The sequence below is a fragment of the Homo sapiens genome, chromosome 9 (assembly GCF_000001405.40).
Source record: "Homo sapiens chromosome 9, GRCh38.p14 Primary Assembly".
Lineage (NCBI taxonomy): Eukaryota > Metazoa > Chordata > Mammalia > Primates > Hominidae > Homo > Homo sapiens.
In genome coordinates, this window is record NC_000009.12 from 95818704 (window position 1) to 95841814 (window position 23111).

Below are 23111 nucleotides of genomic sequence, written 5' to 3' on the forward strand. Positions count from 1 at the left end.
GCTATAAGATTTACAAGGCCCAGTGCAAAATGAAAATGGAGGGTCCCATGTTCAAAAATTATTTAAACCTTCAAAAAGGCAACAGCAGAACAATGACCCGAGTGTGGGGCCTCTCCAGGCTGGGGTCCTGGGTGACCGTACGTGTCACCTGGCCAGCTCTAAAGGCAGCAAGGCAGATGATGAGGTCCGTCTGAGGACTTAAGGCTGATCCTATGTCTTGGTAAGCCATTGCAGGGACCTTCAATTTTCCTCCAAGTGCAACAGGAAGCCATTGTCAGATTCTGAGTGGGGAGTGGGTGACCCAATATGCTTCTAGCAGGATATCTCTGACTCCTGTGTGGAGGTGAGCCTGGGGAGATTAGGGTCACAGCAGGGACGCCAGTGAGGAGTTCCGGCAGGGGCCTGGAGAATCGCAACAACTACAAGAGAGAAAGAAGGACATGCCAGGTGCAGTGGCTCATGCCTGTAATCCCAGCACTTCGGGAGGTCGAGGCGGGCGGATCACCTGAGGTCAGGAGGTCCAGATCAACCTGGCCAACATGGCGAAACCCCATCTTTACTAAAAATTAGCAGAGTGTGGTATCGCGCACCTGTAATCCCAGCTCCTCGGGAGGCTGAGGCAGAAGAATCGCTTGAACCTGGGAGGCAGACGTTGCAGTGAGTCGAGAAGGCAAAGAGCCTTCACTCCAGCCTGGGTGACAGAGGGAAGCTTCATCTCAAAATAATTTAATAAAAGAGAAAGAAGGACACCTCTCTCTCACCATAATTGGATGCAACGCTGCCCTTACCACCCCCAGCATTTGGAGATTTCTGTGTGTTCTTTGGCTCCGGCCATGAGTGAAACTGCTCTTGGGCTGGAGTAGATGTGGGTCCCATGCTAAAAGATGTGTGGCAGAAAAAGAAGCCGGTGCTGCAGGCACCCTTTACCTTCCAGAACGCATGCACCTCTGCTGCTGTGATGCCCAGTGAGGATAGGAAGCAGAAAGAACATAATTACATCCTGCAGGAAAATCCTCTCCTGTAGCGCCCTTACTTGGAATTCTATTTCTCTTTCTTTAAAGGAAAAGGAAATTCCTGAGGGCTTAAAGAATGTCTGTCAGTGCCTCCCTCAGGTGTCAGAAGAGGGGAGGTTTGGAATTCTAACAGAGCTGAGCCGAGAGGAAAGGCCAGGCTTGAGGCGTGACCTAGTAGGTGGCCTCTGTAGGTGCGACTGCACGCCTCTCCTCCATGGAGGGACCCAGGAGACGCCGCCTTCTCAACAGTGCTGTGAGGGCAGACTTGGGTGGCGCTATGGGAGGGAGATCAAGGATGCTCCTGCCCGAAAAGGGAGGCAAAAGTGATTAAGAAACAAAAAGGAAGAGGAAAGAACAATGAATGGATGAAAATGACCTGATATATCAATACAACAGAATAATATTTAACAATAGAAAGAATTACGGATGAACCATACACACAACATGGAGAATCTGAAATAATGTATGCTAAGTGAGGAAGTCAGACAGGAGTACTGCTATGTGACTCCACTCACGCAACACTTCAGAAGATGCAAGCCCAGCCTTATAATGGGAAGCAGATGAGTCCGTGGTTGCCAGGGATGAGGAGTGGAAGGAGGAGCGAGGAGAGATGACGTGAGGAGAGGGAGGACGGAACTTTTGGGGTTGCTAGATATTTTCATTGCCTTCTATGTGCTGATGGTTTAATGGGTATAATTCATACATCAAAATTTACCAAATCGTACAGCTTAAATATATGTACCTTATTGCGTTAATTGTATTTTGATAAAACTGTACTTTTTTTAACAAAGAAAAAGAGGGTCGGGTGTCGTGGCTCACGCCTGTAATCTCAGCACTCTGGGAGGCTGAGGCAGGCGGATCAAGAGGTCAGGAGATCGAGACCATCCTGGCTAACATGGTGAAACCCCGTCTCTACTAAAAATACAAAAAATTAGTCGGGTGTGGTGGTGGGCGCCTGTAGTCCCAGCTACTCGGGAGGCTGAGGCAGGAGAATGGCGTGAACCCGGGAGGCGGAGCTTGCAGTGAGCTGATATCGCACCACTGCACTCCAACCTGGACGACAGAGTGAGACTCCGCTTCAAAAAAAAAAAAAAAAAAATAGGAGTAGTACTAGCGGACTAGCATTAGCCAGCCATTTATGAACCACAGATACACTTTACTACAGATTCGTGCCTATTCACAGCAACGTTGTGGTTACTTACCCACATTTGTACAAGAAGGAAGAGGTCAAGTAACTTGCCTAAGGTCACTCATTTAGAAACAGAGGAATTTGACTTCAAAGCCAATCTCGTGTTTTTTCCATCTTGCCAAAACCATGATAGTGGGGTTGTTTTTTTTTTTTTTAATGGCCACATATTACTCTCCCCTCATTGACTTCTCCCCTTCATTCTGTATGGGCTTACAACTGCTTCAGACAATAAGTATGAAGAAAGTGACTATATAACTTCCGCTGCTAGGTCAGAGAAAGTGACACCGCTTCTATCTCTTCTAGTCTCTTGGACTCTTGTGCTTGAAATACTTGCTCTTAGAATGTTTCCTCTTGGAACCTATCAGCCGTGCTATGAGAAGCCCAAGCCACGTGGAGAGGCCCCATACTTGTAAGTGGTTTGGTCAACAGTCCCAGTAAGTCCGGCTTGGAGCAGCCCAGCTAGGCATGCGAGAGAAGACACCATCTTCAAAGTAAATCCTCCAGCCTCAGTTGTTCCAGTCTTCCCAGCTGAGGCCCCAGACACCACAGAACAGAGACAAGCCATCTCTACTCTGTCTTTTCCAAATTCTCAATCCACAGAATCTGTAAGCCTACTATAAAGGCTATTTTATGTCACTAAATTTGGAGTAGTTGGTTATGCTAGACAACTAGAGTAGTAATTTTGTCTTGGGCTGGCTTGATGGTATAAGTGGATCTAAGCAATATATCCATGGTTTGGGACTATATTGACTACAAAAACAACAAATTAATCCTTCATCTGTTATCAACTCTAGTCTAGTTTTATAGAAATGTCATGTGGTCCCCTAAATGCTGTCATTCAAATAAGACCTTCTTGGGCCAAACAACCAATACATCTTCCTACGTAAGTTTAAATAAAGTCTTTCTGGCTTATGTGAGATCATGAAAGCCTCCTTTTGACACAATAATCCCATGCTCTGTAGTCTGTAAAGTCATTTGGAATTACATGGCAAATGACATTTATAAAGCAACAACTAGCCGGTGGAAGCAACGTTAAATCAGAACATTTTAGTAACTTCAATTTTTATCAAGAGTAGTATGTTTTAGGCTATATTTCTTAAACAAGAAGGCTTGGTCAAGTTTACATTTATTCAGATACCCAAACCATGTCCAGATTATATTTGAACATTTCTTTGAGGGCTCTATGTCCCATTTAATTGCTTTTGACAAGCATGATACCCTCTAAACCTAAATAATGTGTTTCCCCTGAAAACCCCCTCAGCTAAAAACACATTCTACTCCAAGTAAAATGGTTGCATCATCTAAATTCCATTATCTGTAGCATTTTGTAAAAGGCCATGAACTAAGAATGTGCCCTTGTTCTTGATCTCAGGGCGTCTGAAAAAAGACTTGAGCATGAAGCCAGGAGGGGTCTGGCCGCTCGCCCAGGTCTTGATCTCCAGGCTCTCAGCTCACCAAGGTGGGATGCAGCAGCTTGCAACTTCTTGGGGGAAAATAGTTCTTGAGAAATAATTTCAAGGGGTAAACTGGTGATTTTTTGGACAGAGCTTGGGAGAATATCTGGGGCAGAACCGGAAGAAGGGAGAATGTGTGAGAGCTAAAAGGAGGCAACAGCAGGAGCTAAGAACGAGGACAGGGGAGGAAAGAGTGGGCTCAGAGCAGGGGAGGGTGGTGAAGTAACACCAAGAACTCTGAAAACCCTTGTCGCCAACTGTGACTGTCTTCACAAATCCCGACGGTAAAGGCTGCGTGACTCTCCTGGTAACCCTTCTGCCTCGAGGGCCTTTGGCCCTGCCCAACCAATGGTCATGCTGCTGTGTTGGACCCATGAACTGCAAATCCCTTTAGTGAGTGTGTGCAGAGGACTGTGGCAGAAATCCACATGAGAGACTTAGGTACTGCAGTGATCCATCATCTGGGAAGATTAAGTGGCTCTGGTGGCTTCCACGCTACCATCTGACTGTGGTCATCTTGAAAGTTAACTCTTCACTTGTTTTTATCAGTGTGGCTAGCATTGCTTCTGTTCTTAGGTTAAAAATACAACAGGGAAAACCCACTCCACCACCACAAAGCTTAAGCCTGGACGTGGCTAGAGGTTGGTTTTATGAGGTTGTCAGAAATGAATCATCAAGCTACTTGAAGCCAGAGACTCCAGGAAATCTAAACATTTGATAATGCTTGTTTTTGCTTAATTTAGTGAAGCAAGGCCAGAGTCAAACCTGCTGCCATGCACGAGGCAGGCAGATTTTTATAAAAACAGGTTTGTCCTCAAGATTCCCAAACGCCTGTGTCATCAGGCTCTGTCTAGCTCTATTGAAGGCCCACCCTCCTGTAAGAAGCACAGATGCAATTCAAGCCAAGTTCAACTGGATTGAAAGCTCCTTGGGGGTTGTTACTGCGCCTCACACAGCTTTGTGTCCCTCAGAGTAAGCATGTGGGTAAGGTCAGGTTCCCCAGAAACAAATCTGTAAGGTGAGGACAGAGGAGGTAGGAGGTGTTTACTAAGGAAGTGCGCCAGGGAAGGCTGGGCAGGAGTGAGGGAAGCAGGATGATGAGGAGGAGAAGAGCCACACCAGGGGTTATCTCAGGCTGCGACCCGTGGGGTGGCGCCAGCCTGATCTTGCAGGGACCTCAAGAGGATAAGGCACCCGTCAGAGCTTGTCCCAGCTGGCAGCAAAGGACCTGGGCTTTCCTATTCTCCAGGCGTGAAGCCCCTAGGAAATACGACCAATATTTTATCCTGTGGGAATATAATTTGGGTAGGGCTCAAGATTTGGAAAATGATGTATGAGCTGATTGTTTTGCCACCTGCTACACAGGTGTTCAAACATGGCAGAATGTGAGTGAGCTTCTCCACTCCTGGTAATAATCAACGGGGTTCCGAGTGCTGAGTTCCTCCCACATTGCTGCTCTTCAGGGAGTGAGCCTCATGGCCCTGGAGTTCTCCATTAGACTAGTCCGACAAAGCGGGGCATGTTCTAACTATCCAAGAAAACCATGCTCCTTACATATTTAGCTATTATGATTACTTTCCACCACAGCAGTCCTAGCCTCTATGATACAAAGAAATCAGAAAAAAAAAAATAAATTGGATCCAATCTATATTGAATGGCTAAGTTTTTATTAATTCAGTTACCTATGCCACAAATATCTACTGTATGCCTTCTGTGCTCCAGGCAATATGCTCGGGTTTTGGAGACACAGAGCAACAAAATATACAGTTTACAAATGAGTGGACGTTCTTGAAACAAAGGCTGGGAGGGATGGAGGGAGGTGTGAGCCTGGAGGCGTAAGCAGGAGTCCTCCCGGGAGCCTCATGGTGAAACCTGTGCTAATGACCATGCGTTTTCACTGCTCAAATATCGCGGGGGCTCTATGCCTCTTAAAATTTTATCAGTGTCCTAATTTTCTTCCACTGCATCCTAGGAGAACCAAAGACCACAAGATGAAAACATATTCAGACACACCCTTTCCCACTCCAAATCACAATTTTCAGGTCAAGCTCCCCTCAAGGGGATGCATTTCATAGAATTTGGTGATTGTGTTCTTTTAGGTGTATTGTCCACTTTTCCTGGCCTTTTTCTAAATTCTTTTATCTTTTGGGAACATGAGACTCACATAAAATAATAAAGGGTTAGATTATCTTTTTAAATCCGCAATATTTTAGCAATATTTACCTCCTTCTAACTTCAGTTATTGTGCGCAAGCTTTTATTATTGGCATGACATTTTCAAGTTCCTCAATTGACCACATATTGGGATTCATTTTTTGATGTGCAGTATCTTGTAATCCTGAGTACAATCCTTAAAAGGAGAGAGAAGGCCAGGTGCAGTGGCTCACACCTGTAATCCCAGCACTTTGGGAGGCCGAGGTGGGTGGATCACGAGGTCAAGAGATAGAGACCATCCTGGCCATCATGGCAAAACCCCATCTCTACTAAAAATACAAAAATTAGCTGGGCGTGGTAGTGCACGCCTGTAGTCCCAGCTACTCCGGAGGCTGAGGCAGGAGAATCGCTTGAACCCAGGAGGTGGAGGTTGTAGTGAGCCGAGATCAGCCACTGGACTCCAGCCTGGCGACAGAGTGAGACTCTGTCTCAAAAATAAATAAATAAATAAATTAAATTAAATTAAAAATAAAAGGAGAGAGAAACACACTAAGAATGGTGCCGCAGTTCATAATCTCTACTTGGGTTCAGCATTGTAGAAATGTAGGTTCTTTCAGCCTGCCTATCTCTCTAGGATTCAAATTGCCTGATTGAGGTAATGTCGGTTCCTTTTTTTGATGGATTTAAATTTTCTGGTTTACACTAACATCCACCAGATCTCCAAGCCGGTGGCACAGCACAGCCATGTTTCGTCACCACCCCAAGTTCAGGATGTGCTCCCGTGGCCCGCGGGCTTTGAGCTGGAACTCCTGCTTCCCTGGGGAAGCACAGGCACATCAGTGTGCTCGGGGTGTTTGCAGAGAGCTGTCCCCTAGGGACCCCACATGGAGGAGTGGGCTCGGCCCCCTGGGTGGTGTTGGGGCAGGGGAAGGATCACACATGGGCCTCAAGCAAAAGTATGATGGTAAGACTGAATAACCGTCCAGGTTTATCACACTCAGACGTGGAATGTAGTACAATTTCCACAGTCTAAGAGAAATAACCATTTTGTGAAACTCTCTCAATAATTTACACTCTTTAAAAAAAAATCAAAGCTGAAATATTTGATGCCACCATTTAAGAATTTGTGACTTCAAACTGAAGTCGTTAGGTTTGCGTCTCTATTCCACAATTTATTGACTCTATGATTCTGAGCAACTTATGCAAAGTCTAAATAATATGCAAAGTGAGAATAATCATAACAATGTCATGGGCTGAATTGTGTTCCCCCCAAAGACATGCTGAGTCCTAAGCCTTAGGAACTGAGAATGGGAACTTATGTAGAAACCCTACTACACATCTAATTAAGTTAAGGTGAGGTCATGAGGGTGGGTCCTACTCCAACATGACTGTGTCCTTATGAGAAGAGAAGAGACGCAGAGACAAATGCGGAGAAGTCCATGTGAAGATGGAGGCAGAGACTGTAGTGATGCAGCCACAGCAAGGAGCTGCCAACCACAGCTCGGAGAGGGGCCTGGAACACATTCTCCCAGACCCTTCAGAGGAGGCATGGCTCTGCTGACCCCTTCATTTTGGACATGTAGCATCTAGAACTGCGAGAGAAGAAATTTGTGTTGTTTTAAGCCACCCAGTTTGTGGTATTTTGTTATGGCAGCCCTATGAAACTAAAACAATACCTGTCTTGCCTTTCACAAAGGAAATTGTGTACGGGTGCCCTTTGTAAGCTATTATAGAAGGTTCTTATTATTAGGACACTTTCTCTTGCAAGGAAACAGGAAACTTAATTCAAACTGACTTAAGTTTTTTAAACAAGGAAATTTACTGACTCAAGAGGTAAGTGAGTCGCAGCCTGGAGGGACTCAAGTGTGCAGATGAGTCTCTCTGTCACTTCTGCTTTCCAGAATATTTCTTCTTGTTCTAAGGACTCGTGTGGTAACTGCTTGCAGCTCCAGATGCACATCCTCCGAAATTCAGACTCAGGGGAAAAGAGAGTATGTCCCCTGTAGCTCCCCAAAAAATTCAGGATTGTACCAACTCAAGTCACAAGCCTATTTCTTAACCAATAACATGGCTAGGGGATGTGACGCTCCACGTGGCCAAGCTGGGTCACGTGCACCAGTGGAGATAGGGCCTGAGCCCCTCTCAAACCATACGTGCTGAGCATGGGAGAGCAGAGATTCCTCAAAAGAAGCTCATGAACTACTAAAAGAAAGGGAAATCAATATTCCATATCTTCCTCCAATTTCTTTGCTCTCCTTCAAAGCAAAATGTCTGCAAAGAATTTTTTCTATTGTCACAACCTCTGCCTCTTGTCATCCCCAGGTGGGTTTCTGTTCCATCACCTCCAGAATGCAAAGCCAGGTCTCCAATCTGTCCTCTCTGCTCTTGGCCTCTTGTCAGGTTGTCCCGGTGGCCCCTCCCTTCTTCCTGCACACCTGCCCCTCACCCCATCCTGTCCGACCCTGCTCCCTCTTGCCTTCCAGACACCTTGCTGGCTTCTCAACATCGCAGGGCTGCCGGCCTCCCTTAGCCGCGCTCTCCCTAGCTGCCTGAGCCCTTAAACACAACTGCATATGCCGCTGGCTCCAGATGAAACCCCTAACCCTGACCTCTATCCTGGGCTCCAGATTTACAGCCCCTCCTGCCCGTGTCACCTTCAGAACATATCCGGCCTCCACTCGCATTCCCACATTGCTCCATTGGACGCATCTGCCTTGGTCCCAGCCAGCAGGATGGTATCCCCTGGACTCCCACGTCAATCTCCCTTCCAGTCTCCCCGCTTCCTTCCTGGCCAGAATGATTTGATTTGAAAACACAATTCAGATTATCTTACTCCCCTGCTTCCTACCCTCCACCAACTTTCCACTGCACTTAAAATGGAAGGAAAATGAAAACCCAAGTGTTTACTGTAGCTTCCGAAGTTGCATATGCTCTGGCCCCTGCCTACTGGAGATCTCATCTCCTGCCTTCATTGATCCGTCTGGGGCAGAGTGATGGGAGTGGCCGGCCCTAGGTGTGGGCTATAAGTGTGTGCACTGACCACAGAATATTAAAAGATTGGTAAAACCATCGCAGTTGGTATGATTTTTATTATCACCATGAGCCAGCAATTCTAAACAACCTCAGTGATAAAATACTCCTTCCCTGAAAAATAAAGCATTTGTTGGTCTGAGTTATAAGCTATTGCTGAATGTACATGGAATTTTAACAATGTATAGGTAAGCTTTAAATTAGCATATTGTATTACTTATGCTTTAATAGACATTGCATTTTACATGGAAGTTAATTTAGAGATGCCCCAGGCACAGCAGTCGGGGAAGGTGCCACTATACACACTGGTTTTGAGAGCAAGTGTGTAACAGTTTGTGACCATTCAAGCTCTCTTTGGGCACAGTGTGCATCTGATCCAATGATACCATAATGCTTGCAAAGATGAAAAACAGAGGTTGACTTACTTCAATTCAGTTTTCTATGTGGCTCTGACAAGTTTTTAGTTTCAAAAATAAAAAAGTCTTCTTTTTAAATTGCTAGCTATTTTATAACTTACAAAAAATAAAAAATAATGATGGCTCTGGATTGCTACATGATTATCATAGAAGAGGATTTTGTCATACAGTGGAAGCAAGCATTAATAAACACCTCCTGACCTTGCTCTATTTCCTTGGACACATCAAGCTTGATCTTGACTGTGAGCCTTCACTCTACCTCAGTGGTTCTCAACCAGGGCAGTTTGGCCCCCAGGACATTGGCAATGGCTGGGGACATTTTGACCATCACAACTAGGGATGGGGTGAGGGAGTTGCTACTGGCATCCAGCAGGCAGAGCCCAGGGATGCTGCTGAGTGTCCTACAGTGCACAGGACAGTGGCGCAAAGGAAAGAATTATCTGGTCCAAAATGCTGATAATGTCAAAGTGAGAAAGTTTAGAAACGCTGCTGTCCTCTCTGCCTAGAACACACCTGCATCAGAGCTTCTCGTGGCTCATTCCTTGACACTGAAGTCTCAGAATAAAAGGAACCTCCCTGTAGAGGTCTTCCCCTGACCAGCCCTCCAGAGGAGAACCCACCTCGGTCTCTCACCACCAGATCACCTGATCTTACTTAGTTTTCTTCATAACATTTGCACCACCCAAAATTAAGCTTTTGCACTTATGTGTTCGCTACTTGGTTTATGTTTTTGTCCTGTGAACAGAAGCACAATGAAAGCAGGGACTTCGTTCACTATTGTATCCCCAGTGCTTACATAGGTGACTGACAGTTACTAGGAGCTCAATAAATATGTGTATAACTAATGAACGGACAAGAACAAGATAACAGATATTTACTGCAGTTTCTACACTAATGTGAAGTCCTGCATTGTAAGTTTTCTCTATCACTGGGGGATTGTTTCTTTGCTTTATTTAATAGTCATTCACATATCTAGAGATTAGAATAACATTTCTGATTGTCTGAATTCAGGATGAAAGATAGTTCATATTCCTTTTGACATATACATTCAGTTGTTGTTTTAATGTTAATATTCCAATCAACGTGGTAGTTCTTTCTTTAACAAGTTTAATTCCGCACGCCCCTGACATGTTTTGTGCATATAGCTGTAGACCTGAGCAAGAGTGATACATTTTATTTTACTATTTATTTATTTATTTCAGAGATAGGGTCTTGCTCTGTTGCCCAGGCTGGAGTGCAGTGGCATGATCATAGCTCACTGCAGCCTCAAATACCTGGTCTGTAGTGATCGTCCCACCTCAGCCTTTCAAACAGCTGGGACTACAGATGTGCACCATCACGTCTAGCTAATCTTTAAAAAATGTTAGTAGAGATGGGATCTCACTATGTTGCCCAGGTTGTTCTTGAATTCCTGGGCTCTAGCAATCCTCCCACCTAGCACTTTGCCTTCCAAAGTGCTAGGATTATGGGCGTGAACCACCACACCCAGCCAAGAGTGATAGATTTTAAATATAGGAAGATAATTGATCCCTCAGACATTCTGCAAGCTATGATTATGACTGTGATTACATTTGTCTTTAAATTATGCTAGCATATTATTAAGACAGGGATACTGTTACCCACTATGATGAACTTATTTGGCGGTGGCAGAGGGAGAATTACACATAGTCATTTCATTTTAAACATTTTTAAAATGTCCATATTCTTCCACTAGGCAGATGCAAGATGCCTTACAACCCTGGGCTGGATGGGTACAAAGAAGTCAGACATGGTCCCTGGGGAATCTTCCAAAAATTAACAGGCTTATTACATGGGGGACAAGATATGCATTAATTAGCCAAGACACAAGCTATACTAGCACTACATTCCAGACGTGGTATAGAGAAAAGGCTCCCGAAGTCCAGTTGTTAGATATGGCAGATCATGGAGACCTTGGTGGAGGAGGTGGCACTGAGTTGGGTATTGAAGAGTGGAATGGGTTTGAATGTGAAGGAATGGGAGCAAGAGCAATGCAGCCAGAGGGAATTTCATGAGCAGAGGTGTGAAAGCTGATGCAGTGTGGGGTGAAACAAAGCAGCAAGCATTTTGCTTTGACTGGACTGGGGATATGGAAGGGGAGTAGCAGAGAACAAGGTTCCGATGGCAATGATGGCTGGGTGCTCCAACACACTAGAACTACCGGCTGAGGTGTTGGGCCTCCCTGAGCTGTGGACATGAAACCACTAAGGGCTTTGAAGAATGCAGGCGAGATGACTGGAGCTTCAGGAAAAGGAACCTTGAAACACTGCTTAGGAAGAATCAGGGTTTTGGCTGAATCAGTGCAGTGGCTCACACCTGTAATCCCAGCACTTTAAGAGGCCGAGGAGGGAGGATGCTTGAGCCCAGTAGATTGAGACTGCAGTGAGCTGTGATTGCACCACTGCACTCCAGCCTGGGCGACAGAGTGAGATCCTGTCTTAAAAAAAAAAAAAGAAGAGGGCTGGGTGTGGTGGCTCATGCCTGTAATCCCAGCATTTTGGGAGGCCGAGGTGGGCAGATCATGAGGTCAAGAGATCGAGACCATCCTGGCCAACATGGTGAAACCCCATCTCTACCAAAAATACAAAAATTAGCTGGGCGTGGTGGCACACGCCTGTAATCCCAGCAACTCGGGAGACTGAGGCAGGAGAATCACTTGAACCTGAGAGGCGGAGGTTGCAGTGAGCCGAGATCGAGCCACTGCACTCCAGCCTGGTGACAGAGTGAGACTCCATCTCAAAAAAAAAACAAAAAACAAAAAACAAAAAACAAACAACAACAACAACAACAAAAACAACAAACCTCTAATTGCTGATAGAAAGAACCTATCTGGTTGGTGGATTGAAGAGGTATCTCTGTGATTCATCCTAGTAGACCCATGCATTGATAACAAGAAGCAAAATCTTCTTACACCAGGTCTAACCACCCCACCTAAGGGTAAAAGATGACTGATGATGCCAGTCACCCATGCAGAGTGCTCCATCCCCTGGGGCCGCTGGGTCACCAGGGCCCACTCTCCCACTCAGACTCACCAGCTGTGTCTTCTGCTGCCAATGCCCTGAGCATCAGTTATGCCACCGAAGTCATCACAGACACAGTCATTGCTGCTGACACACAGGAACTTCTGCATTGGGATAGTCTCCCACCAAAGTTGCTATGGCCAAAACCCAGGGCCCCTTAAACCCCTGCCGCTAAAGCTGATGCTACTATCTTCAGTGGCTGCAGAGGCTGCCAACCAGGCATCCCTGCCATGATGCCAGGACCATCTCTTGAAATGACCAAGCTACTGGGGCCAAAGCTGCTGACACCCTGTGGCCTCAATGGCCCATGAAGGCTTTAGTGGAACAATTTTTGATGTTATACCCTCTGTCATTGTAGCATGTGATCATTACAACTCAGGCACGAGCCTGTGAGGTCTGAGCTGGAGGAAAATCAGTGAGACAGACACTGGGTTTGGGCTTGTCACTGTAGCAGACTCCAGCTCCCAGCCTCATTCCACCCCACCTCAGCCAGGGCTACCTGCTGGATGGAGAGCATCAGTCAGCCCTGCTGTGTCCTCATCTCCCAACCCCAACAACTGGCTGTCTGGCACATTTTGAACAATGAGAGGCAGGAGACCAGGAGGTGGGAAGGAACCAGCAGATAAATTCTTACCCTTCTCCATCCCCTGTTCCTTCTTATTCATGGACAGACTCTTCCGAAGGCTCTGTGGCTCCTGTCCAGGAGGCATCTGTGTCTGTGTCTCCTTGTGAAGGTGTAGTCACCTCGGCAAACCTCTGCCTTCCATTTGAATCCATTTTCCTTGTCTCAATTCCTTTTCTCCCCTCCCTTTACTCCTGCTGCCTGTGATTACACCCTCCAAGAAAGCTCTATTTTTAGGCCCCTCTGGCTAAAATGCTTCTTCTCTGACCCTGACCCAATGTCCATTCTTTCCTTCCTGAGGCTGTTTTCTCAGAAGCTCCTTGAGCCTTTGTAAAATAGGGCCCTCTGCACTCTCTCAAGCTGCCAGGTTTGGCTGAGTTCTGTGAACCCAGCTTGGGCTGTGGGTGGGAACCCTGTAAATCAAAGTCCAATCAGGAAAACAGAAGCCAGGCCAGGGAGTCCCTCTGGAGTTTTATCAATAACAAGGATTCAATAGAGAGAATAAAATGGTCAGTGAGGAAGGGGCTGATAGAGCTGAAGGGGAAAAGAAGACAGAAGACAGTAAGGAAAACAAAGATACTGGCAACACTAGGAAGCTGCTGTCACCCTAAAGGTGGGAAGGACGCAGGACGGAGGTGGTGTTACCAGACTTAGCGGAGTGGGAACCACAGCCAGCAGCAGAGCCCAGGAGCTGGGCTACAGAGAGGATGGGGAGGAATATTCTGGCTGCTCCCTTCTTCCTGCCCTCAAGCCTCTAACCAATTCCCCTCTTTCACCAAACCTAAGGGAAACTATTTGGTAAAAGAGCTTTTGGGAAATGAAGTTAATGAGGATCAGCCTCCAGTGAAACAGGAAAGGCGGGAGAGAGCGGGGAATGATAGGAAAGCAAGGAAGCCAACGCGTAGCCCAGGATCCAATGTCCCCAAAGCTGAGCATCCTCCAAACAACTGGACCCTCAGAGACACAGGGCTGAAGGCGCTTGTTCGTTATGAAGTTTCAATGATGATTGCCTAATGTTTTAGGTGCTCAAGGGTTTTCTTTTAAACTGAGTTTTATGATTGGGGTTGGAGGTGGGTATCCCTATTTTCCTAGATCCATGTATACCCAGCCTATGCTTGGGGTTGACACATGGCATTAGAATGTAGAAGGCAGAAAGAAAAGGTTGACATGAACATAATCCTGAAAACAATAATAATTTTCCAGGAGAGGGATAGCATTAGGAGAAATAGCTAATGTAGATGACGGGTTGATGGGTGCAGCAAACCACCATGGCACATGAATACTTAGGTAACAAACCTGCATGTTCTGCACGTGTGTCCCAGAACTTAAAGTATAATAAAAAATGATAATAATAATAATTTTCCATTTGCCAAAGCATGTAGTAATTTTTGTGACTAAGAAGAAAAGAATGTTGATTATATTTATTTATGATTAAATATTAAATTGATCAATATCAAAAGAAACTAATCCAGGTAAAGGATGCAATCATTGTTATTATATATATAATATTAAGAGGGGTTAATCCATTTAAAATCAATTTAAAAATCAAATATAAGCTGGGCTTTCGACTGAGATTTTACCTTTCAAATCTTAGGCTTGATCTTATTAATTTTGATGAAAGATCAGATATGACTCTTAGATAAAAATGATTATCTCTGTTTTTCCAATTAATGTTTTATTAGGTTTTCCACACAACAGCCTCAAATATTTTGACTAGTTACCATTAATATTTGTAATTTCAAATAGAATTATCTAGATTTTGAAATGGATAGTTTTCACTAAATAATTGCTAAATATGCAATCAACTCCATGCTAGGTAGATGCAGAGATATGTGCTTTATATGCTTTTATGGGTCTGTGGCTGTGCCTTGGCTAAAGCTGAGGAATGCTTCCTGGCAGCCAACGTAAAAAGGAAAACACGATATATGGCCTTCATCGTTTGATATGAGGAAGAGCTCTAATTCATTGGAAGAGAGACATTTTCCTGGAACTGCACCTCAAAGTACAGTTTGTCAAAAAGATCCAGATACAAAGGGTATTAGAGCAACATTGCAGATAATCTCTTTAATAGCAACAGAAAAAAAATCAGAACATATTTACATGGGTTATTCTTAGAAAGTGTATACTCGCTCACTCTGCCTGAGCAATGCCAAATACGGCCGAGGAATGACACAAGAATCTCTGCAAGATTATGTTGTCTTGTAAAGAGTTTTTAAAGTTCTAACTTAGTATAGAGGTAGGGGTTTGAAAACCTTAAGTACAAACTTAGCATGTCTCATAGAATATGTTTCTGTAAACAGAAATGATCTTGAGCAGGTTTAGGCAAGGGCTGCTGAACTGCCAGTTCTTGTTCCACTCAACGCCAAGTTGCCAGAGAGTGAGGAGTGTGTGTGTGCCTGGGTGGAAAGATTCCTATGCATTAGGTGCTGTGTGTGGATTATCAGGTTGATATTTTGTCAGAAAATTTAAACAACTTGAGCTACTTTTCTTTTTTCCTGGATGGAAGGCCATCAAGCTTCCTCACAGAAATGGGATTGCAAACCATTCGTTCATTCACCCATTCAAACAATTGGTGTTACTGACCAAAACCGATATGACGGGCACTGAGAAAACAGTGAACCAGAAGACATTCTTACATCCTTTATATTCAACGGAAGGGAAGTTTTTAAAAATAAACAAAAAAACTTTTAGCCAATCCAAGCCTCTTGAAAATCTTACATTCACCATTCAGAGCTCATTTAGAGCATGTATCATAACAGTCAACAGGCCACTACTGTCTCCAATAAAAACTCATTTTGTGACTTTCAGTATGCTAATTCAAGAAGCCCCAAGGTGTTGGGTAAGAAATGCCTGAGTGCGGCCTTTCTGATAGAATGCTAGCTCACCATCTTGGACTGTGGATTCCTGGTCAGAGTAACTGATAGAGCCTGTCTCTGCGGAAGTATTTTGTGGCCAGTTGCTGACGTCATAATTGTCCACATTTGAAGGGAGGAGGAGAGTGAGGGCACATCAAAGGCAGAATCCACATCCTTTACATTTTGGGTAAAACCCACATACCCACCAGAGTTTCCTAGCCAAATCAATTTTGATTCCTCAGGCCTTAGAATTTCTAGGAAAATAAAACTGTTGGCCATGCTCCAATAAAAAGAAATGTTTACAGTTTTCTTATCACTCTGGAGACATGAACTTTTCTTCCCTCACTCCTCCAGTAAACCCAAAAGATAAAAGTTTGACATGATAACAGATTTCAAAGGAAAAACTTTAATCTTACCTCCTGCCCAGACAGCAACCACAGGGTACCTAGCTGATTTTTATAAAATCGTGTGTAACATATCTTTAAACAACAATTTGAAATGTAGTAACCATTTTCATTTCTGCATCTTCTTGGAGTTAAGACACCAAAACTGCATGACCATCATCCTGAAACATGTCCGGGGCAAACACTCTGGGCAAACAATCTTTTAAATTGCTGATGTGGGCAATGGTTCTGCTAAGGTTTTACCAATAAGTAACCAACGTGGAAAAACTAGGCAATTTTAGGAATCAGAAGAGGAGGACTCGGAGAAGAAAACACTTGCCCAAATTCACGTATAATCACAAAGTAATGTTGGTCATTGGCAGAGAAGTGCAAAGAGACTTTCACTGTCATCTCTCATCAAGAGATCAGATTTGGGAATTATTTATAATGAGCCCATATAATGGGCTGAAAAATAATCAATTCCTACTTAAAATACCCTTAACATTGAGGTTCCTAAGTCTCGCTAATCATGCGTGTAAAATAAATATAAAGGTTAATGAAACTGAAATAAAATGAGGCATCCACAAGTTTATAAAACTTATTTGGTGGAGCAGAGAATTCATGGGCCTCAATTCAATTATTTCAAGGGAGTAGCTTCCTTGCTAGGCAGATTAATGGACAGTTTAACAGACAGTTAAAGCAAGCTGTGACTACCCCATGCCTGGCAACCCTCTCTCTTGATTTAATAGACACGATTGGAACAAATAGTCTGGCAAAGTAAGAAAGTCGGCCTCTTAATGAAAACTCCCAAAACAAACAGAAATGTATTTACTTTTGAAAATAAACTGGTCTTAAAAAACAGAAATAAATTAAATCTCAGAGGGAGACAGCCACATAGCCTGCCAATGAATAAAGATTTGGGGACACAGTGGTGCAGGAGAAGGATCCAGTGTGATATTATAAGTGTTTCATTGCTGGAGTCTGGTAGCTCTTTCCTCTACCCGTCCTCAGTACAAGGTAAATGATTACTAGTGATAACTTAGAAAATGGCACTAAGTGAAGCCTCCAGAGCTGTTTCCCTCCTGCTATGGTCCTAGATCTTAAATAATGATCCACCATAATGAAAGAACAGGAATGGCTGCTTCAGAATGGACTCATATCACCCATCACATTGTCAGAAGACCTACTTTCCATCTCCTTCGGTAATGCATGAATCAGTGTCCCTACTCTAGATAAGAATTCTTCTCAACAAGATGCAGATATCTTCATCTACTACATTGTATGAGGTTAAGTAGCCTTCATTTAATGACAACCACTTTTCTGCAGATTTTTCCTACACTTGGCTTTCTCTTACTGAGAAGGTTTTTGAAACATTCCTTCACATTTATTCATCTCATGCTGTCGGCTAACCTGTATGATCTCAGAAAATTCCAGAATACAAACATTCTGTCAAAGCCTATGTGGTTGGTTACACCACTCATAGAAGCAGTGTGGATTAGAATAATAAAAATCAGATTCCAAGCTTCTATGGTATAAAATAGGAGAGTGCCCTAGCTTTCATTTCCATTAAGCTTAAATCTGTGTAATGATGCTACATGTCAATGTCATGGTTTCTAATAATATAATCCAGTAGTTATCATGAGAAACAATCAATTTGTTGGATAAGTGTTATTAGAAAAAGCACTCAATGTAAAAAGCAGAATTATTGTTAGTCCAGAGGCTTTAGCATTCAGATGGAAAATACAAATAATTCCAATGAACAGGCCAATTTTATTTATTTGTTTGTTTCTTCTGTAGAAGTAGAGAGTTCAATTCCAACAGACTATTATTTTGCTTGAAAACAGATATCATATAGTAAAAAATACAGTTTTTAGGAATTCAAATTTTTAATGGGCAAAGTGAGTGTTATTAGTTTGCTACAGCTGCTATAACAAAGTACAACAGATTTGGTGGCTTCAATTATAGAAATTTGTTTCCTCACAGTTCTGGAAGATGGAAGCCTGAGCTCCACGTGTCAGCAGGGCAGGTGCCTCCTGAGGCCTCTCTCCTTGGCTTGTAGGCAGCGTCTTCTCCCTGTGTCTTCACATAATCTTCCCTCTGTGAGTCTGTGTCCTCATATCCTCTTCTAATAGGGTCACCAGTCAGATTGGATTAGAGCCTTAATGACCTCATTTTAATATAACTACCTTTTTAAAGACTGTATCTCCAAATACAGTCACATTCTGAAGTACTGGGGGTTAGGACTTCAACATAGGAATTTGGGGGAGGACAGAATTTAGCCTATGAGAGTGAGCAATTAAAAATACTTGTCCTGGGCTGGGCACAGTGGCTCACACCTATAATCCCAATGCTTTAGCAGGCCGAGGTGGGGGGATCACTTGAGGTCAGGAGTTCGAGACCAGCCTGACCAATGTGGTGAAACCCCATCTCTACTAAAAATACAAAAATTAGCCAGGCATGGTGGTGCATGCCTGTAATCCTAGCTACTTGGGAAGCTGAAGCATGAGAATCCCTTGAACCCAGGAGGCAGAGGTTGCAGTGATCCAAGATAGTGACACTGCACTCCAGTGTGGGCAATAGAGAGAGACTCTGTTTCAAAAAAAAAAAGTCCTGGCTCGGTGCAGTGGCTCACGCCTGTAATCCCAGCACTTTAGGAGGCTGAGGCAGATGGATCACTTGAGGTCAGGAGTTCGAGACCAGCCTAGCCAACATAGTGAAACCCCGTCTCTACTAAAAATACAAAAATTAGCGGGGCATGGTGGCAGGTGCCTGTCATTCCAGCTACTCTGGAGGCTGAGGCAAGAGAATCACTTGAACCCGGGAGGCGGAGGTTGCAGTGAGCCGAGATCGCACCATTGCACTCCACCCTGGGCAACAAGAGCAAGGCCCCTCTCAAAAAACAAAACAAAACAAAAAAAAAAACAAAACAAACAAACAAAAAAACTTGTCCTGCAAATTCTAGGCAAAGTTATCTCTTGCATATTCTAAAGTACTGGACTCTGAGACACCAGAACAGATGCAAAACTCTTGAGGTCTTTGAGGAAAATGTGGGCCACTCCTCACTGCCTATTGGACATCTCTATTACCAGGCCTAATTCCCATGTTTAAAACGGAACTAATTTCCTGCTACCCTTAACCTATCCTCCCCCAAATCCCAGTCTTTCCATTTCAGCAAGTTTAGCACTTCCAACCAGTGTCTTTGCCAAAACCCTCGGCATCATCTTTAATTTCTCTTCTCCTTTCACACCCCATATTCTATCCCTCAGCAAATCCCATCTAGCTACTTTCACAGCAGGGTCTGAACCCTATCCTGTCTCACTGTCTCCACCCTGAGAGCCCTTGCCTGGATTCCTGCAATACTCCCACTAGTCTCCCACTCCATTCCTGATCCCTTTATATTTTGTTTGCAGGAGCCAAAGTGATCCTTTTAAGGTGTAAGTCAGATCATGTCACATCTAAGAAAATAAAATCCAAATTAAATTCTATCCGGTCTATAAGGTTGCACATCATCTGGCCCCGGCTAAGTCATTGGCCTCTATTTCTATCAGTCATCCTCACCCAAGATTCCATGCTCTGAATAGTTTCCAATCTTCTTCCACTGTAAAAATTTCCTGTTGTCCATTTCCTTAGCACCCAGCATTGTGACAAAACCATCATGGCGAGGCTCTCGGTAAAGCTTGTGGGTTCGTGTATTATTTCAAAGTGACCTCTTTCATCAACACCAAGGGCCTTTTATGTGCCACACTCAGTGAAGGAACCAAAGTGGCAAATGTTAGGGGTCAGAATGGTCCAGAGGAGGAGGTCATTTTAGGTGGGAGTCTTTACCTATGCTCCAAAATGTATACTCCATGGCCTTGCAAACTGCTGGTCCCCAGTGCTGACATCCTATTCATGAACATTAACTAGGCTTTCTGTTAGGGATTTTTAAAATTTTGTTCCTCTTGTTTTCTAGATCAATGGGTTATTGTCAATCATTGTCATTTTTATGATGATGATGATGATGCACTAAACATCTTGTCTTTCTCTTATCTTTCTCTTGTCTTTCTCACTTTCTATAAAATAATACAATTATATCTACTTTTTACATTAGGATATTCCCATTAAGCTAATGTGAGATGGTTGACTTTTTAAAATCTATGGGCAAAGCAATTGTAGCAGATGCTGTTTTGGTGCCCCACCCATACTCCTGGGTTCTATCACTTCAGTGCTGGCCTGCCACTTGATGGCTGATGGGAGCTGCATCTCTTTGCTGAGGATGGGCAAGGCCACTCCTCCCACTCACTGGAGGCAGATGTGCCAGAGGAATCAACCGTTCCACCCCAGCAGTCTTTACAATGAGATTGCAGTTGGTGTATAAATACCCCAGCTCCCTCTATCCTCAGGCAGGTGAAATTTGCAATGTGTCCTATAACATTTCTCAGAGTTTCCTCACAGAAGTAATCTCTAGCTTAATTTTAGGGATAGTAGGCTTTAAAATGTCCCCTAACTGGAGGCTTTCCCTTCCTTGTCTTACTCCTCCACTCCTCTGCTGATTTTCCCATACCAGCGGCACGCTAGTAAACCAGTGCTCAAAATACAGAGGAAAACAACAAGTGGAATAGAAACAGCCCCTGTGTGAAGCAGCTGCTGGTCTCCACAGTGTCTATGCTCCCACCATGGCCTGTTTCAAGCTCTCAATGGGACATCCCTGAATCTGGGAAGGACAGCACTGTCAGCTCTCCTCAGCCAGGACAAACTGCCTCTAGCATGCCTCCTAAATAAGGGCCTTACTTCAGGGTGTGCCACAAGGGAAACACAAACTAAGACAGAAATGAAAGCTCAGAGAAACTAGGCAATTTTCTCAGGTATGAACACCTGGTCAGTGGCTGAAGGAATGCCTATTGTTACCTGATAAATTATATGGTAAACTGTGATATCAGCATGTTAGTTGCTTAGGCGTTTACTTATTTGTCAAATAGTCATGCATTAAACACAGATACCTTATACAGAGGAGTGAAAGGAATTGTAATTTTATTATTTTAAAAACTATGAAGTAGATAAAGAAATCCTGCATTGCAACATTATATCACAATGTTCTATCAAACGCTTGATTTCCTCCTATTCACTATTCTTTGCTGCATCAGTTTCACTGGCCCTGTTCTCATGCCTGCTTAATGTGAGATTAATTTTGCACAGTAAGATTAAGAACCATAACTATATATTGTATTCTTCAGTAGAACAGAAATCATCAGTCTTGGGCTTTTCCTTTAAAAGCATGTTGCTAAAATATATGTAGAACCTCGTAACTTTTGAGAACACTGCCTTGAAGATGCTTGTTTTTGAAAAGATTTTCCACTGCCAAGAAATTCCAAGCAGCTCAACTCCTTTTGCTTTTCCTTTGCAACACGGGCTCCATTTTGCCAAGCTCATGAAGCCTAATCTGCAGGAATGACCCTCCAGTGTGCAAAATGAAAGAATTTCAATTCACAGGAACATTCTGTCTTGAACTCCTACAAAAATGGGTCAGTGTGCCAAGTATGATACATGATATGAATTGGATGCTAAGAGAAACTTGGCTGATTGATTCATACATAATTTTTCTTTCTTTCTTTTTCTTTTTTTTTTTTTTGAGACAAGGTCTCATTCTGTCACCCAGGCTGGAGTGCAATGGCATGAGCATGAGCATAGCTCACCGCAACCTCAGACTCCTGAGTAGCTGGGACTACAGGTGTGCAGCACCACACCCAGCCATTTTTTTTTTTTTAAAGAGATGGAGGTCTTGCCACTTTGCCCAAGCTAGTTATTCCTACTTCTAATCATCTTTTCCTCTTTGGAATCTCTTCCTGCTCATCTGGTAGAAACAAACATGAGTTTCAGAGGTAAATCATGTCCTTTAATGCTATGAACCCCACGTGCCGATTTTAACTTCTCTTTTACTAAATTTATGGCTTTCTCAATACCCTCCTCTATTTAAATCCCTCTTCAAGTTATTCTTTATTTAGTAGATTGTAATGTCCTCGATTGGAGAAGTCCAGGTCTATAAAGCGTTTCATGACTGTTAATGCTCTAATCATATGATTTTGTGGCACAGAAGTAGATACTGGGTCTAATTAGGCAAATTAACAGTGCATAAATTGTAAACTAGGTCATTGGTGGGCTGTTTAGGTCTGGGAAGAGATAATGCTCATTTAATTTACTCAAAGAGCCATTTATCAAATGCCTACTTTTGTGTCAGGAACTGGGCATGCTAAGAGTATTCTAATGGAATATGGAGGAGTTAACACCTTACTTGCTGTTTTGTTTTGTCCTTTTTAACTTGGTCAATGTTTTACTTGTATTACTCTCATAACATCTTCAATACCCTGTCTTGAATCCATTGATTTGTGTATTTATCTCCCTCCCCTTCATTAGATTTTAAGCACTTTCAAGAAAGGGACTTGGTCTTATTTATAGACCATGCATCCAAGTGCCTCACAGATAGATCCTTGAGAAATATTGTTAAACTGAACTGAGAGGTGAACGCCTATGTTTTTGGTCTGCACTTGAGCTAGAGTCAAAACACAGGACTCTTGACTTCACATTCCCAGATGCTTTTCCCTCTATTTATAACTTGTACAGAATTTGTGACACAAATGCCTTTTGTGTCTGAAGAGTTTATTACTAATGGGACCACTTGCATCTTTAATATGGCAACACGTACGAGTGCCTATTTGGATAAGAGCTTGTTGAATTTTCTTCTGACTCAGCAGATTGATTCTTTCACTGGCTCCTCTAAATGTGGCCCAAAGTTGTGGGTGGCAAAAATGCAGCCTGTGGACCACCTGTGTTCTCTAGGCTGTATTTGAAACAGGGAGAGTTCTTGAATTCCAGATGTAATCCAGGCTTCCAGCACAGCTTGCCTGAGAAGAGCCGTGCCTAGGAAACCCTGAGCCAGTGATGGGGCTGGTCCCTGAAAATGCATTGTCCACCCTTTCCCCAC

The 23111-nt window shown here is 43.6% G+C and overlaps 1 long non-coding RNA gene across 1 annotated transcript in view, besides 3 other annotated features; it reads right to left on the bottom strand.

The window, feature by feature from the left end:
* ERCC6L2-AS1 (ERCC6L2 antisense RNA 1) overlaps positions 1 to 23111 on the bottom strand; it is a 69890-nt gene that overhangs the window by 12616 nt on the left and 34163 nt on the right. The window lies entirely within an intron of this gene.
* Positions 1004 to 1298: a silencer, noted in NCBI's record as "tiled region #9073; HepG2 Repressive non-DNase unmatched - State 22:ReprW, and K562 Repressive non-DNase unmatched - State 21:Repr". NCBI's record gives its function as "represses a minimal TATA promoter and a strong SV40 promoter by Sharpr-MPRA in HepG2 and K562 cells {active_cell/tissue: HepG2 | K562}" and the evidence as "EXISTENCE:reporter gene assay evidence [ECO:0000049][PMID:27701403]".
* Positions 4381 to 4590: an enhancer, noted in NCBI's record as "active region_28642". NCBI's record gives its function as "activates an Ori minimal core promoter by ATAC-STARR-seq in GM12878 lymphoblastoid cells {active_cell/tissue: GM12878}" and the evidence as "EXISTENCE:reporter gene assay evidence [ECO:0000049][PMID:35858748]".
* Positions 15616 to 16815: an enhancer, noted in NCBI's record as "BRD4-independent group 4 enhancer chr9:98596601-98597800 (GRCh37/hg19 assembly coordinates)". NCBI's record gives its function as "activates an origin of replication core promoter dependent on BRD2, P300/CBP, MED14 and CDK7 cofactors, and independent of BRD4, by STARR-seq in HCT116 cells {active_cell/tissue: HCT116}" and the evidence as "EXISTENCE:reporter gene assay evidence [ECO:0000049][PMID:35650434]".